The following is a 16,800-nucleotide window of genomic DNA, read 5'->3' as shown; positions in this document are numbered from 1 at the left end:
GGGGCCAGCAGCCAAGTGAGTGATCCAGGAAGTCATCCAATTGCAACCAGAAATTGTTCTTAACCCCTCACTGTCTAGGGTGCGTAGTGGACTTGCCAATCTGTCCGAATGGGGTGAGCGTGAGCGCGCTGCTGTTGAGAGCCCTGGGAACTGTCAGTTCTCAGCCAGCCTCAGGGCCCTCAGGGAGCCATTGGACATCCCTGGGGCTGGGCCCGCCACTTGAAGAGAAAAGGGAAAGGGCGAGAGCCAGTCTCCCTTGGTGAAGAGCGCCTCCTTGGCACCCTTGAAGTCTGTGGAGGTGCCTCTGTGTTGGATGTCACATGTGTCCACCCAGGCAGGATCTGCCAGGGAGCAGCGAGGGTCACCTCCCACACCTTGCTGCCGCGGGTCCGGCAGCGGCTCACTCCTGGACGGGACACAGGGTGCCCCCGCTGAAGCTGCTGACGGGCCTTGTCAGGCAGGGGTTAACAGGGGATTTGTTTATTGAATCACCAAGTAGCTGTCACATGATTTTAATCAAAACACCATTTCCCTGACAACAGTGATGTCAGTCTTGTTATTGCAGGAAGGAGCAGCTGTGAGGGACATTCAGTCTCCATGCCGAGCCCAGGTTTGGAGACTAAAATCAAGTGAAGCATCCATAAATAATGGCTACAGACACTGCCTGACTGCGCCCACCCTCCTCCTCTTCCTTTTCTCTGCACACAGTCTGTCCTGTACACACACTGACCCGAGACCAGCCCCTGCGCCACGTCCCAGCTAAGACCATCTTCTGCCTTCCATGCCCCTTCTACTCTTGTTTCTGGTTTTTTCCTGCCTGCCTTATTTTCCCCAAACTCAGAGAGTCCCTTGGGCCCTGAGGGTCTCTGACTTGTGCCTTTCGATGCGGGTCTCTTCTCTGGATTTAATCAGCACCTGCTGGTGAACCAGGCTGTTCTGGGCCTGAGGCTGGAGCCATTCTGCAGCTCAGGAACCTCACTTGTCCTAGAGCCAGCCTCTAGCATCTAGCTGCATGTCCTGTTCCTCCCACAGAGTTAGGCTGGCAGGGCCTTCGCGCTGCCCTGGGGGGTCTCAAGGGCAGCTCTGAGGAGCTCTGCTGGGAGTGTGTGAAGGGGAGGAGCTCCTTAAGGGCCAACCTCTTGGCCAGCGGATTTTGTTCTCTTGAACCCAGAAAGACTACAGGAGATGTGAGTCCAGTCAAACTGAGGACTGATGACAAAGACCAAAGCCCAGGGATGTTCAGTCCCATCCCCAGTGGCTTCCAGCTAAGGCAATTGGACCTTGAAGTCCATGGGGAAGTCAGACGTAGGCTGGTGACAGGGCACACGGGAGCAGGTCCTTAGGCTGACCTCCTGTCAGTGCCCTCTCCACTGTGGGGCCTAGGGGCCGAGCTGTCCGCACAAAAAGACTCCCCCAGGCCTTCCAAGTCTTTTCCACACTGGAGCTTGACCTAACAGTTGGAGATAAAAAAGTCCTCCTACCTGTGACATAGATTCTCAGGGATGTTCTTATGTTTGTGGTACCCATGTCTGATGCCTAGAACTCATTTCCGAAAATTCAGAAATCCTGGGGCAGAGTTCCCAGTTCTTAGCCTGAAGCAGATGCTCAGAACAGCACAACCACCCTTAAGTCAGTGAAGACAGAGCTCACAGGCAAGAAGCAGCCATTTTCTGTACCTAGTGTTGGGGCAGGCAAGAGTTAAAGTAAGATAGGCAGAGTGGGACTCTGTGACAGCCCTCCAGGGGAGTGGGGGTCTTCCAGGAGTGCCAGGCCAGGCTGCATTTGCCCCTCGCAGTAAACCCTGGGGTGAAACCAGCCAGCCTGTGCTCCAAGTTACCACTGGAGACACCAGCCTTTACAATGATTTGCCTGGGTTAGTGGCAGGGCTGAGAGGGCGCCAGGGGCCGAGGCCTCTGTCAGAGGTTCTTTGCTGCCTCCCAGAATGTCCCTGCCTGGAGGGTGGCCAGGTGGTGGCTCCCGGGCTGGGTGGGAGCCGGGCCTTGCTCTCCCAGGCTTGCTCTGTGCCTAGCCCTCCTTGCCTGGCCCTCTCATCCCTGGTTCCCTTCCACTGCCTGCCTGCCCTTCAGCCCTCACTTTGCTGGCACAGGGGCACTGCTAAGCATTTGGGCTCTGTAGCGACTGGAAGGCAGTTCTGGCGGATCCCAGACAGAAGAGACAGGCAAGGCTGTGCGCTCCGGGAGCTATGTGTGGCGTGCTTGGAGGAAAGGGCTTGGTGGGCTTTTCCTCCATTCCATTGTGTCCCACCCCCAACTATGTGGGTGGCCCTGGGGTGACAATGAACAGTCTCCTCAGGGTCTGATTTGTCAGTCAGCCCCACTCGGGGCATTTCACTTTTGGGGAGTGAGGAGCTGGAGCCAGAACTGTCCCAGCCGACCTGAGGAGAGAGTGACTCAGTTCTCCCTTTGAGAAGCTCAATCCCTAATGCCTCATTTTCCTCTGGGCCCACATTTTCTGAGCTTTTCTGCTTATCCAGCTTTTGGGGGCTCGGCTCCAGGGGAAGTCCGCTTCCCATGCTGTGGCTCCCTCCTGTCTCCACCCTCCCAGACACTGTGCTGGCTCGGGGGCTCAGCCCAGCTCATGCTTTCCCTGGGCTTGGAATCTCTCTTTGCCAATTTCAGAGCAGCTCTGAGTCAGTCTGCCCTAGGAAATCCCCCCAGAAACACGGACAAAGGGAGGCAGCAGCAGGAAGGCTTGCTGGAAAGAACAGTGGCCGAGGCGCCTGGCAAGCTCTCTGCCCTGCCTGACCTTGGGTTTGGCCTGAGTGATTTGTGGGCACAGCTTCATACCTGGGGGGAGGCAGGTGTGCCAGTGGCCCCTGTGTCTGAGGGAGGGCCCAGCCCCTTCGCCTCAGTCAGGACCCACATCTGCCTCCTAAGGGACGTTGTCCAGGATGATTCCTGTGCGATAATCCATCGCTCAAGGGCTGCTCAGCTTTTGAAGTCACTGGTGGGGCTGAAATGAGAAGGGCAGAGCAGCCATGTTCTGTGCAGGTGACATTTCCTTTGTAGCCACATAGCACCCAGGATTTAGTGCACAAAGCCCAGAACTTCCTCCCATGGTGCCCACGGGCTGCTGGCAAGCAGGAGGCTCCCTGTCACCTGGATCCACCCAGGGAGGGATGAGAACCCATCAGCAGGGAGGGTCCCTCTGAGCTTTGTTTGTTTGTTTATTTGTTTTTTGAGATGAAGTCTTGCTGTGTCGCTCAGGCTGGAGTGCAGTGGTGCGATCTCAGCTCACTGCAACCTCTGCCTACCAGGTTCAAGTGATTCTCCTGCCTCAGTCTCCAGAGTAGCTAGGATTACAGGCGCCCGCCACCACACCTGGCTAATTTTTGTATTTTTAGTGGAGATGGGGTTTCACCATGTTGGCCAGGCTGGTCTTGAACTCCTGACCTCAGATGATCCACCTGCCTCTGCCTCCCAAGGTGTTGGGATTACAGGTGTCAGCCACAGCACCTGGCCAAGAACTTTTGAGAGAGCAGAGGCTGAGTCAGGGGTTCCTAACTTTGGTCCCTGGTGGGGAGGGGGGCCTCGGGGGCCCAGGAACCAACTCCTGTCCTGAAATTCTGTGTCCGAAGTTCTGGGTCTGTGTACATGCTCTTTGGGAATAGTCCATAGCTTGCATGTCAAGGGGATCTCTGAGTCCTCGATTTAAGATCTAGTGGGGCAGAAAGCAGCTGCTCGCCAGGAACAGAACCTTGGGCCCTGTTCCCACCTGTCCTGCGTCTTGATGGAGAACTTGGGAAGTGCAGGCACTGCTGTCTGGTTCCATCCACTGGGCAGAGGCCCTGGGTTTGGGGTGCAGGCCTCCCTGCTGCTCTCCTTCCCCACCCTGCTGGAGCCTTCGACTCACAAAGGCTGCAGAACTGAAGAGTGTCCTGGGGAGTGCGGGGTTGGGGCCTAGCTGGCCACTGGTCTGTTATTTTGCCTGCGTCCTGGGGCATTGGAGTTGTTTTTGGCAACACAGAATAAGAATGATGGAGAAATCTGGTGGGAAAGGGAAAACATTGTTACTGAAATTTAGTGCTTTCCTTAAAAAAGAAATGAAACTCAGCAATACTGAAATTTTGGGTAGCCAAGGGGTAACCACCAGTTTAAGGCAGAACTGAGCTATTGTCAGCAGAGTCAGGCAGCAGTGGACGTTGGTGGAGAGGGCTCCGCTCCTTCCAGCCTCTGCCAGTGTGGGCCCTGCCGACTGCACCTTCCCACCGCTACCCAGAGACCAGCGGCTCACCCCGCAGGGAGGGAACTGTCAATGTTCTATAGCATGGGCTTAATTGGAATGGTTTGAGTGAAACCAAATTTCAGTCGAGATCCTGCTGCCAGCAAGCTGGATATAACAGTGGCCTTTCACTCAGGGCCTGGCACTGAAACAGGTCCAGGATGCAGGAGAGCAGCTTGGCACATGGTGCCTCCAGCACCCTGAGGGCGTGGAGCTGGGCCTCAAAAGGGTGCCCCGCCCATGTGAGGGAATGCACTGTGTGAGCGCACGTGCAGTGTCGAGGCCTTTGGCAGACCCCAGAGAAGATGTGACATCGTGACTAAGTAGCAGTGTCTTTTGCCTGGCAGCTCGCAGCACCTCCCCTCCCATTTCCAGCCCCTGCCCTGTAGCTGCCTGTCCTCGGGGACCCCTGCATCTGCCTCCCCTCCTCCTACCGCGGCATGAGGCCCTTGCCCAGGCTACCTGGGCTGATGCGCTTTGCCCTGGGACTCTGAGAATCAAGGAGCAGTAATTAAGCAGTGCCCAGCAGGGCCCTGTCCTTGTGCAGGCTGCGGTTAGCAGTGCTTCCGTCAGCGATCTGCAGCGGCTAACGTGTACTCGGGCGATTCAGAGCAAGGTATTATTTACCCTGCTGACGTCAATGAGAACATATTATCCACTGTCCTTTTCTGCAGCCTGAAATGAGCACCAGAACTCAGAGAACACAGCCACCTTCCATACTCTAAAAATTCCACCCAAGGCCCGATGAGGCAAAAACCCTATCGCATTAACCTGACATTCACATCACCCGGGCTCTTAGAAAAGAAGTTGTTTTTATTTTAATTCAAGAGGGTTGGAAACATAAAAACAGTACATTTTCCTTGCAGAAAATTACCCCATTTAAATTACTATTTGGTACAGAGATTATTTATTACACTGCATTTTAGGCAATTTTCTAACATTAAGTGACAAGTTATACTTTTGATTTTTTTTTTCACATTGGAGCTATTATGATTTGCACTCATAATACCAAAGCTACTGAACTCACCAATTTTTTTCTTAGTAATTAAAAAAAAGCACACAGAAAATATAACTACAGTTAGATTAACTTTATCAAAAGTAACTCTTTCAGACCAAACATCCAGCAAAACCACCCACCTCCCTTCAGATATAAGCAAATAATCTTGCCCTTTCTACAAAGTGCAGATATCTCTGTATCCCTTTTATTTCTCAAACTGCAGTCCCCGAAGTGAAGCAAACCTTTCTCTCCACTTCTTTCCCCTTCAGAGATTTTGGTGAAGGCAGGTTTCTCTTACCACCCATGGTGGAAAGGTCTCACCACTTGAATTTCCTTGACTGAGCAAATCTTCTGCAGACAGACACCACAGAGCCAGCAGCAGCCCATTATCTGCACTGGGGAATGTGACATTATTCCATCTGGGGTCATATGTTTCCAGGATGTTGTTTTGTACTTCTATTTTTAAAGCTCCCCTCTACCCACCCACTTTGCCTCTGAAAAGACAGAGTATTAAGTCAAAGTCTGTTATTACTTTTTTAATCCTAAAAGTAATAAGCACTTCTAGTTGATGGGGCTTGACTGTAAGGAAATGTTACGCCCCTCGTTGAGACAAAGGCTGAGTTCATGACCGTTCCTGGGGTGGAATCTGCTGGCCTGCAGTGGTGGCCTGATGCCGTGCGATGCGGCCCCTTGGCAATTGAGGAAGGGGGTGTTCTGTAGGAAACTGCTGTATTGTAACTTGGAAAAACTAGACATCTTTGAGGTGAGCCTAAACTTCTGCAGTTAACTGGACGCTGAAAGGCAGGCGGGTCTGCGGGGTTTTTGTCTCCCTCAGCCTGGTTCAGTGCACGGCCACCTGGACAGCTGCACTGTCACCTGAAGGCGGCCTCTTCCCCAAAGCCAGGCGGCTGTTGAGTGGAGAATAAGGTTGTGGGAACAATATCACATTCACCCTGTGCTTGACCAAAATGGGGGCTTTGTTTATACAGCTGTTTGCTTATGAAAAGAGTCAGATGCTACTGAGGAAAGAGAAGGGAAAGAGAGGGCTTCTTCCAGCACTAGAAGCCAGAGAACCAAAACCAGAAGCCAGTCAACCCAAGCGCGTGTCCCAGCTCCTTCTATCACCAGCTGTGATCTCAGAGAAGTCACAAACTTCCCAAAGCTTTGGTTTCTTCAGCTGTGAAAAATAAGGACAGTATCTCCCCAGCTAATTTCATAGAATTGTTGTGAGGGTTAGAAGAGAAAGTGCTTGGTAAAACTAATGTACAAATATAAGCTATTGCTCCCTTGTGGGTGGGCGAGCAGAGTATCTGGGCAGAACCCATCACAGCTCTCCCTGGGTGGGTCTGCGAGCACTGCTGCCGCCTGGTTCTCTATCTGTGCCCCAGTGTGTGCCTGAGTCTGCTGATAGGTTGAAACCTGCCTGGAGAAGATGTGGACACAAGGTGGGGGTGCACGTAGGATGGCTGTCTTCTAGAATCAGCTAGGCTACCTTAATTAGGACAAAAATGGTAAAATAAGAATGTGAGAGGCTACTGGAAGGTGAGAGGCTCCACTGCTTTCGTTCACCTGCCACCAAGGGCCAGACAAGGGCTCTGACATTACAGGTGCTTCAGACCACACTGTAGAACCTGTCAGAAGGGAGATGATAGAAACTTTAAGAAAATCTCTTTGTCCAGTTTAGAAACAGAGGCAGATGATACTGCTCTTGTCTTTTTTTTTTTTTTTGAGGTGGAGTCTTGCTCTGTCGCCCAGGCTGGAGTGCAGTGGCACGATCTTGGCTCACTGCAAGCTCCACCTCCCGGGTTCACGCCATTCTCCTGCCTCAGCCTCCCGAGTAGCTGGAACTACAGGCGCCCACCACCACGCCCGGCTAATTTTTTGTATTTTTAGTAGAGACGGCGTTTCACTGTGTTAGGATGGTCTCAATCTCCTGACCTCGTGATCCGCCTGCCTTGGCCTCCCAAAGTGTTGGGATTACAGGCGTGAGCCACCGCGCCCGGCTGATACTGCTCTTGTCTTTCATACATTGCTCTGAAGATAAGTTCTATAAAAAAATTCCAGGTCGGGTGTGGTGGCTCACACCTGTAATCCCAGTACTTTGGGAGGCCAAGGTGGGTGGGTCACCTGAGGTCAGGAGTTCAAGATCAGCCTGGACAACATGGTGAAACCCCATCTCTACTAAAAATATACAAACTAGCTGGATGCGGTAGCACACACCTGTAGTCCCAGCTACTTGGGAGGCTGAGGCAGGAGAATGGCTTGAACCCAGGAGGTGGAGGTTGCAGTGAGCTGAAATCACGCCACTGCATTCCAGCCTGGGTGACAGAGCGAGACTCTGTCTCAAAAAAAAAAAAAATTAAATAAATTCCAGAAGCAACAAAATGATCAAAGATCCCTGCCTGTACAATGACTCCAACTTACGAGCTTCCCTGTTCTCCAATTTTCACCTTTCATGTTTAGGCACAAAGAGACCGAGTGGCTCGGGTGGCTTCCCAGGAGGCAGTTAGAGGCAGCCCAGTTTAGGAGTTTGAGTGTAGCAGGTCAGCCCTGGCACCGGTGTCAGCCACTGTTCACAGGGACTGAGACTGTGAAATGACACACTGCATATTGTCTCTATAGGAGGTCGAATGGGAAAAAGTTACCTGGAGTATGAATTTTCTTTAAACCAATAGGGAGCTTAAATGTGACTGTTGATACAGGTTTTAAAATGTAATACAAACATATTTACGAACCTGGGGCTTGACTAGAGGCTGGAGGACCCCAAAAAGGAGCGCCACTCACTCACTGTGTCCTTGCATCCTCAACTGCCCGCATGTCTCCAGAGGCTGCTTAGTGCCCACACGCCTGGGACCAACTGTGACTCCAGGCTGCTGCTTGTCACCTTGCCTTAGTTTCTGGCTGATCACCTAATCACTCTGGAGCTGAGAATATCCTTCTCCCCACATCTAACCCGTGGGCAGAATTCTGTGAGCGTTTCCCTGCCTTTAGGACTGATGACACTCGGTGTGTGGGTGGAGGTGGGGGAGTCGTCAGTCTTATGATGAGTCTCTTCTGCTGGAGACTTTGGTCCACGAGAGAGGGTAGGGGGCAGGGGAGAGGCCGATACTCCTACAGGGGGGGTCCCCCCTTGCTCCCCATCAAAATGCAGAGCACCCCATTACTCCAGCACCAGAGTTGGGAAGGGACACAAGAGGCAAGGGCTGGCTTCAGTCTTGGGCTCCTGTCTGTCCCAACCACTGACTCCAGCATACGGTTTAAACACTTGGGAGTTCTTGATATCTGAGGAAGAAAGGGCCACTGACTTTTTCTTTCCTAGGAGGCAAAAGTGGATGGAAGAGAGAAGGGGTTTGCTCAGATGGGCATGAACAGCCCCTGAGCCCCATCCCCACTCCCCTGGTGGGCCCTGATGCTCTCCCACGCAGGGATTCTCAAGGTGGATGGTGTAGAGAACCATCAGCCTCCTTTTCCCACGGTGACAGAAGGCAGTGCAGGCAGAGGTGGCGAGGGGGCAGCTGGGGACGGTCAGTGTCACCGGGAATGTGAAAGTGGGCCCCCTCTTCCTGTCGGGCTAACATGCTGTTTGCCTTACAGGGACCAGTGTATCAGTTGCGTGGAGATACTAGAGACACACTTGCCCAGCTGGGAATTGCAGAGCTAGTGCATTTCTCCCAAAGCACAGACTAATACCCCAGATTTAAAAAAAGAACATAAAAAATAAAGTACCACACATATTGCACTTTTTGCCGAACGAAATTTTTACCTCACGTTCATCTCACCAAAGTCTCTTCAGAGGAGCCTGGTTTACAGGGTGATGAAGCTGATGATGATACAGTAGTGTACACACTGCTAACGTGAATCAGACTGGAAAGCAAGTCAGTACTTCAGAGTAGCCCCGCAGAAAAAGAGCGATACTAAGCCTTCTTAGTGTTTTGTTTGTTAGTAGTGATGAAGAGAAAACTGCTTGGAAGCTTCCATGGGTCACTAGTTAGGGACAGAGCAGCACAGGTGATCAGACAGGGCTGAGCAAACACCTGACTGACCAACAGAACCAGTCTCCTCAGCAGCTTACATTGCAGTCAATACAGAGGGTTATGGAATTTATTGATTTCTGCTTGAAATAAACAAGATAAGCAAATAGGAGCTTACAACACAGGTCCCAGCAGGAGGGGTCACGCTCTGCATCAGGCCGGTGTCCACGCCGCTGCCGTGTGTGACGGATCCTGATAGGCCTGGCTGCTGTAGGGCACCTCTCGATTTCTCTCTGGGTCCTTAACCTTCCAGTAGCCTCTCTGCAGTCCCTCATCGGCTGGCCTAACCGTCCTGCCATAGCTCCCAGGTCTCCTGGGCTAAGCAGCTCATGGCATTGTTGGGGGGCAGGAGTTTATGTCGATCTGTAACTACACCATTCCTGCAGTTCTGAAATGAGTGGCCCCCATTTTCAATCTGCAGGCATTTTAATATCGCAAATATTGTAGCACTTCTGTAGTATATTTTGGGAAAACGTCTTCCTTCAGTCTAAACAAATCAAGCCCCATTTTATAACTGGCTATTTTGTAAAGACTCAAAACAGATTAGAGATCTTAATGAAATGATCTCTTAAATGAAATGATGTTCTTTATTTCACGAAATCATCAATCTTAAGCACGAGCAGGAATAAACAACTCCCAGAAGAAGCTTAATTCATTCTTCCTGGATTTTCACTGTGTGTTATTAAATCACAAAAATGACAGTCCCCACACTGCCCTTTCCCACTGACACCAAGTCCAACCGTGAGCACAGTGCCTCTGCGAAGCATCCTGGCACCCATGGTGAGCGCTGGCGACCAGGCAGTCTCTGGCCAGCAACAGGGACTGCTCAAGTTACCGACGTTGGTAGGAGCTGGGCTCGCATGGCCAGAATGGAACCCCCTAGACTTTCCACACGTCACCTGCCTGAACGCTAACTACAAAGAGGAAAGGCAACTTAAAGGTGTTTTCTAGATGCAGCATCAGTTAGTCCCTCTCTTTGTGCTTTAAGGAAGATGCTTTGTGCTTAACACATTCATCTGCTGATGGGACAAGCCATTCTAAAGGGCAGAAATGATCATCTTTAGAATTAACACTGACTTTGTAACACCTGGATGTTAACTGTCCAAATGGCAAATTATTCATCATTTCTAGGGATACAGTTAGCTAGCTGTAGCATCTAATTTTTACTTACTTTGATGACTGAATTGTAAGTGTTGGTTAAGTTTTATTAGTAATATAATGTTTGGCAGATGATCTGCTTAAATGGTTAACACATCTGTGGTTCTTTCTTTGAATATTGCTGTAATACTTGAACATTTCATTACAAGTCAAAACTTTAACGAAATTAAGAATGCTGATTCCCACATGGTGGAAAACAAACTCTGAAGTGACTTTGGATTTAGCATTGACATAAATGGAAACTGTTGGTTTCTACAGAAAAGAAAGAATTAAAGCATGATCTGGGGGAAAGGCACCGCACTACCACTTCACATGGGACAGAAAAGTTCATTTATCATGTCCTTAAAATCTCTAAGCCCTATATGAAACTGTCCAAATATACAAAGCTCAATAAACTACTAGCAACATATAGTGTAAGGTCAAAGTAGTTATTACATCGGAAAAGAGACAACAGGTACCCTGGAGACCGACTGCCCGCAAGCCAGCAGTGTCCACGAGAAACTGCAGGAAGAGCCTGTCTTCCCTGGCCCAGGGCTGGTGCTCTTGATGCGTTCTTGAGTTTCTTGCCCCCTGCCTCCACGGTGGCGGGTCTCCTGTCAGTTCCACGTGTGACACCTCTGGAGTCCTGAGTATATTCTGACACTCGGCAACCCAGGGCACCTTCTGAAGGGGTGTGTCACCTGCTTCCGAATGGAGATGAAGGCGGTTTCTGGGGTCAGTACCAGCTGTTATTTAGTGGCCCCTGAAACACAGCTCATGCCCCACTGCTTTGTGATGGCCTTGGGGGACAACTTGCATCAGCAGCTAAGAACTTAGGATTCAATGACAAAGCACAGCTTTCCTTTATTTCCTGTGCATCTGATTTCCTGATGTCTTCTTGATTTGCCTTGTAGCAATATGTGGTTGCTCAGCTTCAGTGAAAAATATATTGCCTTTTCCCCCATATATATGCAATAGCACACACCCTTTCTGCTTTCACCAAGGTTGCCCTTGATAATAAACGGATGTAATCCTGCATAACACCTGGGTCTGAATGTCTTCTTAGGAACACATTTGTCAGTGCTGCCCTCGAGAGCTTGCTCCACTCGACCGAAGGGCAGGAGCCTCAGCCTACAACTATGTTCCAGCACTTGCCACAGAAAACTTTGTGGTGGGGCAGAACCAGGAGGAAGCAACATCCACCCCAGCCAGACCCTCTGATTCCAGTTGGGTGGCTCGATTTCTCCCCGTTAGGGAGAGGGCAAGAAAATAAGCTTTAAATTTAAAAGGCTGGAATAAAAATAGGAACATACACTCTTCCTTCACCTGACCCACCTCAATTCCTGTGCTGAGACTAATTCACCAGGACATACCCGTTGTGTTGTGGATCCACAGCGTCTAGCATTTCACAATCAAAGAGTCCAGGTAGCTCAGAGAGGGCTAGTGGGTCGTAGCTGGAGGGGGCCTCTTGCAGTCCTGGGCTTCTGGGACAGTCTGGCCCCGTTAGGTCGCTCTGCTGGGCTCCATCCACAGGATACTGACAGGGAGTGGGATAGTCTGGCGCAGGGGAAGCAGCGCTTGGCAGCTCACAAGTCTGATAGGAGAACTGTAAGGGGGCTGGGGCAGCTCCTGGCTGTCGTGGTGGTGGAGGGGGTGGTGGCGGTGGCGGCTGCTGCTGCTGTAGCTGCGTGGGCAGAGGAGGAGCAGCCCGGGGACCGGAAGTGGAGGGCAGGGGCTGAAGCTGCATCTCTTGGTACTGGCTGAGGAAAGGGCTGTATTGCATCTGCTCGGAGGAAGGCTCCAGGACGGGGCTCAGGGGCTGGGTCAGGCTGAACGGTGGGGCCTGCTGAGAAGGCGGTGGAGTCTCCTGGCGGGGAAGGGGCAGCTGCTGACTTGGCTGTGGGTAGGAGCTCTCTGCTATCTGCATCTGATTAAAATAGGCCTGCAGTTGAGACTGCTTCTGAAGAAAGAGTCGCTTCTGCTGGAGCCTAAATTGGTAATATCAAAGGAAAGAATTTTAAATCTTCTCAAGTGATGGCAATTTTAATGTAAATGCAATACCAGTCACTAGCTTCAGTCTTCTACTTAAGTCTCTCTCATGTCAGCAAAAACAAGTGGGAATGGGAACCAATTGTGTTGGGTCTCTTAAACCTAATCTCATGTTTTGCCCCCCAGTTCTGATGATCCTTCAGTACTAACGTGAGCAGGAATGCATTTTCTCTGACTCCGAGTTTTTTCCTTTATACAATGAGAGGATGATTTCCCTTCTGGAGAGGCTAGAAGGGGAGATAATCACACCTTGGCCTCTGCAGGTGTCTGCAGTTGATGGATTGATTAGGGTAGGTCTACCTTGGCCAAGCTGCTTCTACTAGCGAGGCTGTGGGCACACATGATAGTAAGGGAGGACGGAAGGCTCCTGTGCCGCCTACCCCACCTCCATACTTTGGGCCACTGACTGTGAAAGCTTGGAGCTAGTCATACCCCAAAGAGGAAACGCTAGAAGAAAAGGAAAACAAAGTACACTGTGGGGCTGCCAGTGCCTGACAGGACCATCCTCCATGGATACTGAGATATCCTCTTAGTAATCGTGCTCAGAGGGCCTGTGACACACGCAGAAAACCTATTTTCCTAGTAGTGGCGAATGTGAGAGGAAAAGGACAACACATTCAGTGTTCTCAAGGCTTCCAGAAAAGGAAGCAACTTCTTTGGCCAAAGTCCCCTTCTCACCTATGTTCCTGCAGCTGCTGCTCAAGGCTCCGCGGTGGTTCTTTGCAATAAAGCTGACAGGTGTTCTGGGCCTTTGACAGAAGGCTGGGCTTCTGGAAGAGCAGAAAAACAACATGAGCGTGACAATGTGCTGTCACCTAGGATGCAGTCATCAGATGTGCTTCTGCCTGCAGGATGAATCTAACTGCATTCTACAGAATCCACACGGGGTGAAGGGACTGACATTTACTCCCTGAGACCCTGAAAGAGCATCGGGCCCGCAGGCCTGGGCCATCTCTGACCTCACCTACTTCCTTTTTCCACTCCATTTCCAAAAGTCCACTAGGACTGTGAGGCTCATGGACATTAAAAAGCAATGAGAAAGGTGGAGTTAGATCTTGAGAGCAAAGGCCCCAGCACCCGCTGAATGAATGATTCATCCTTTACGGGATCTATGCTTTATCGCTTTTTAAGATTTTTATGCACCAACATAGAAAGCCCATGTAGAAATTCTGCAGACTTAAGGTTTTCATTTTATTTGTTACTCATTAAGAGGAATACAATTAGAAAGAAAGAAGCCAGGTCTCCCGTTCCCACCCCTCAGTGGCATATCCTTTCGTGGGGCTTGAGGACAAAGCCTTTCCCACCACCAACACACAGCACAAAGCTAGATCTGAACACGTTTCTAGAAACTCCAAGTACAGAGTCAAAGCTACTTGCCTATAAGGAATCAAGCAGCTACCCTAAATAAATGCCAGGCAAAACACGTTTCTGCTTTGCAGAAGAACAGATTCTGGATGAGCAGAGTGAGGTGGACTCGCAAGGAGAAGGACCCACCTGGAGTCTGTGCTGCAGGTACTGGGTCTCCAGGCTCTGCCGTGGGGACAGCTGGGGATGCACGCTGGCAGGGAGAGTGGAGACGCTTTCCTGCTGCTGAGAAACTTCTTCCTGAGGAGCAAGGGGGTGGAAACAATTTTCAATTCCCCATGGGGAAAAACGTCTCAGTTCTTAGCTGAAGCACCTTTGCAATGTCCAATAGGAATACCAACTCCACTGAGACTTATTAATACTCAAAGCTTTTACAGAGCCAGTAGGCTGAGGGCTCATTACTCTGCAGAACATTTATGCATGTATTATCTCTAGTTAACAATTACCTAGTCAGTACTAGAGCAAAGACTCTTGGTGTCACCAGGAGGCTATGGCCTTCATGTGGGCCTCGAACTATAATCCTCTTGGATGCACTGAAAATAGGCTCAAAATAAAATCAGGTAAGTAGCAGTATTTATTGTATTTTTAGTATGAATAATCCACTTGTAGTATTTACTAAAGTGATACCACATCAAAAGTAGTGGTGAGAAGCTTCTCATTTGGGTGTAGTTCATTTGTGTATTTTTCATTTGGGTGTGTGTGTGGCAGGAGAAGGGGAGTTCAAGGGCGACTGTAAGAGGTCACTCATCTGTACTCTGCCCTGTGAGCCAAAAACAGCTTGAGAGTGTCCAGGCCTCCATCTGGTATTGATCACTTGGAAGCAGCGTGGATGGGTTGAACCCGTCAGTGGCAGGTGGCAGCAACAAGGCAAAGAAGCTGTGGGTTTTCCCAAACAGCCTGTTTGCTCCAGGACTGGAGGAAATCCTCTAAGTGAAAATGACCATCTTCAGGACAAACTCACACCTCATCCTCACAGAGCCATTGAGGGAAGGGCCCAAGGTACCCACCTGAGGGCAGCTGCTAGCAAGGTCCTGGAGCTGAGGAGCCGCCGGCGCCAGGTTAGGGTCTGCCTCCGGTCCTATTTGTTCATACAACAACTGCACTTTGTTCAACTCTAGAATTCCTTTGGTTCTAGCCAGATTCTGAAGATGTTGTCTAAATGCTACAATTCCTGAAAGAAAGCACCAAGACCAAACAGTTTAACTAAAATACAAGGCCTTTCAGTGACCACAGGTGACCACACCAACATGGCAAGAAACTGCTCTCCTACGACGCGAGTTTCAAAAAGCAGAGGAGGAAGTGCTCACCCTGGGTGAGGGAGGTATCTGATGCTCTGCGGCCCTCTCTGAAGCTCACTGGAGACCTGTTGTGGACCTCTCGTTTCTGGGAGCTCAGAGCCTGCATGGCTGGGTTGGTAGGTCTCAGGCTTATGAAGGGAGATGTCATGCGGGGTGAAGGCTGATTGGCTAACATGATGTCCTTAAGGGAAGGGTTGTCTTCCAGAAAGTTCAGGTCCCTCTGAACAGACCCCATATCATACTCAGAGTCCACACTGTCAAGGGAGGGGCTGTCATTCATGGAGAAAATTTTCCCTTTAAGAGAAAACAGAACAGATAAAACCAACAGCAATAGCATCTCCTTGGAACATAGGGTACAAAGCATAACCAGCTTGAGTTTTGACAGCTACCATGTCCTTAATTTCCAATCAAAACATCTTTTCAGAGCCCTTTTACTGGCCAATTTAGTCATCTTCAAGTTTAGTGGGGAAAACACTCCAGAAGTGGCATCTGTAAGATCTCAGCCAGTCCAAAAGAGCCAGAGTCCCTGATCAATCACGTGGCACCCAGATGAATCCTGGGGACTATGGGAGCCAACTCAGAGACATTTCAATTCACCTTTGATAGCTGCTGCCAGGCTGTGTCTGCTATACCTGCTGAATCTAATCCATAAAGGAATAAGCTATCGACTCAATTTTAGGTGTTGGCTGGCATCGTGACCACTTGTTGGCAATTGGAGTATGACATGATGCCATGAAGACTCAAGCTAGTGTCGCTCCTCTACCGTACCTGCCCCAGGCATCACGACCAGTTGATTGGTCACTTCTGACAGAGTGTGCCGTCTCTGCCCGCTGCGTGTGGACTGAAATGCCTCAAAGGCATGAGCGGGGTCTTCCTCGGCCTCTCCTTCTGTCTCCAGCCCTTCGTCAATGGAGGTCTCCATCATGTTGCTGGGCAGTGACTGGCATCCCTTCCGCACCAGGACAGGAGGCACAGGGTCAAGCAGACAGCCATTGACCTAAACGCCAGGGGAGAGAGGAAACTCAGTTTCTGCACTGCTGAGACAGAAAAATCCACAAAGGAAAACATGTCAAGACTTGTGGCGAACTAGAAATTAAGTAAAATATTTAAACATGCACATATTTATTATGCATGACAACACATAGATTAGAAGTGAAGGCAAGTCAACTGCAGGACTCAGAACTCTGAGACAGAAGCCCATGATGACCCAAACTGGCACTGCTGCCCAGGTTTCTCTGAGTCATCATTATTACAATAAACAACTTTTTTAGTGGTTTCCAGAAGAACAGGGGTATATTAGTTTGAGGACTACCAGTTATTATTTTTTTTTAAATAAGGGAAATGAAGAGGGGGAAGATGAGTTGTTTTTTTTTTTTTAACTACTTGGCTCATTGCTAAAAAAAAAAAAAAAAAAAGGGGTAGTCACCAAGATTCTTCTATTTTTTCAACCATAAACATAATGGAAGGTTTTAGAAAGACTTTTATGTTCAAAATTTAAGTACCTGCCCATTTGATTTAGTCTTTAATTGGTTCTATATGCCTGGGGAATGGAAAGTAAGAATTCTATATAGACAGACTGATACCACAAAAAGGATTGAAAAAAATTCAAATGGCAGACAGCCAAAGCCTCCCATTGTAGAATAACAAAGGGCTCACTGGCCCAAAATTCCAGCAGAGGCTA

The 16,800-nt window shown here is 49.9% G+C and overlaps 2 protein-coding genes across 14 annotated transcripts in view, besides 3 other annotated features; one reads left to right on the top strand and one right to left on the bottom strand.

Annotated features, from left to right (window-relative positions):
* PPP2R1B (protein phosphatase 2 scaffold subunit Abeta) overlaps positions 1-16,800 on the top strand; it is a 78,390-nt gene that overhangs the window by 30,499 nt on the left and 31,091 nt on the right. For 3 of the 12 annotated variants that reach the window (NM_181700.2, XM_017017960.2, NM_181699.3), the window contains one exon: positions 8,834-8,978. The exons of 8 other annotated variants lie outside the window; for them this stretch is intronic. In NM_181700.2, coding sequence (NP_859051.1) covers positions 8,834-8,926 — 93 coding nt within the window. In that variant the 3' untranslated portion in view covers positions 8,927-8,978. Of the gene's footprint in view, positions 1-7,680; positions 7,839-8,833; positions 8,979-16,800 lie in introns of those variants that run through there. One more of the 12 variants, XM_047427196.1, reaches the window with a different exon arrangement.
* Positions 211-847: an enhancer, noted in NCBI's record as "H3K27ac-H3K4me1 hESC enhancer chr11:111605768-111606404 (GRCh37/hg19 assembly coordinates)". NCBI's record gives its function as "activates a minimal SCP1, AML or CMV promoter by ChIP-STARR-seq in primed H9 embryonic stem cells {active_cell/tissue: H9 hESC(primed)}" and the evidence as "EXISTENCE:reporter gene assay evidence [ECO:0000049][PMID:30033119]".
* Positions 2,428-3,244: an enhancer, noted in NCBI's record as "H3K4me1 hESC enhancer chr11:111603371-111604187 (GRCh37/hg19 assembly coordinates)". NCBI's record gives its function as "activates a minimal SCP1, AML or CMV promoter by ChIP-STARR-seq in primed H9 embryonic stem cells {active_cell/tissue: H9 hESC(primed)}" and the evidence as "EXISTENCE:reporter gene assay evidence [ECO:0000049][PMID:30033119]".
* The window catches only part of SIK2 (salt inducible kinase 2), a 128,407-nt gene continuing 116,642 nt past the window's right edge, over positions 5,036-16,800 (bottom strand). For both annotated transcript variants that reach the window (NM_015191.3, XM_017017417.2), the window contains exons 10-15: positions 15,888-16,116; positions 15,129-15,413; positions 14,829-14,992; positions 13,951-14,061; positions 13,135-13,226; positions 5,036-12,395 (exon numbers count right to left, since the gene is read on the bottom strand). In NM_015191.3, coding sequence (NP_056006.1) covers positions 11,762-12,395; positions 13,135-13,226; positions 13,951-14,061; positions 14,829-14,992; positions 15,129-15,413; positions 15,888-16,116 — 1,515 coding nt within the window. In that variant the 3' untranslated portion in view covers positions 5,036-11,761. The remainder of the gene's footprint in view (positions 12,396-13,134; positions 13,227-13,950; positions 14,062-14,828; positions 14,993-15,128; positions 15,414-15,887; positions 16,117-16,800) is intronic.
* Positions 12,049-12,584: an enhancer, noted in NCBI's record as "H3K4me1 hESC enhancer chr11:111594031-111594566 (GRCh37/hg19 assembly coordinates)". NCBI's record gives its function as "activates a minimal SCP1, AML or CMV promoter by ChIP-STARR-seq in naive H9 embryonic stem cells {active_cell/tissue: H9 hESC(naive)}" and the evidence as "EXISTENCE:reporter gene assay evidence [ECO:0000049][PMID:30033119]".

The sequence above is a fragment of the Homo sapiens genome, chromosome 11, assembly GCF_000001405.40.
Source record: "Homo sapiens chromosome 11, GRCh38.p14 Primary Assembly".
NCBI lineage: Eukaryota > Metazoa > Chordata > Mammalia > Primates > Hominidae > Homo > Homo sapiens.
This window is presented reverse-complemented; position numbering and strand designations above follow the sequence as displayed.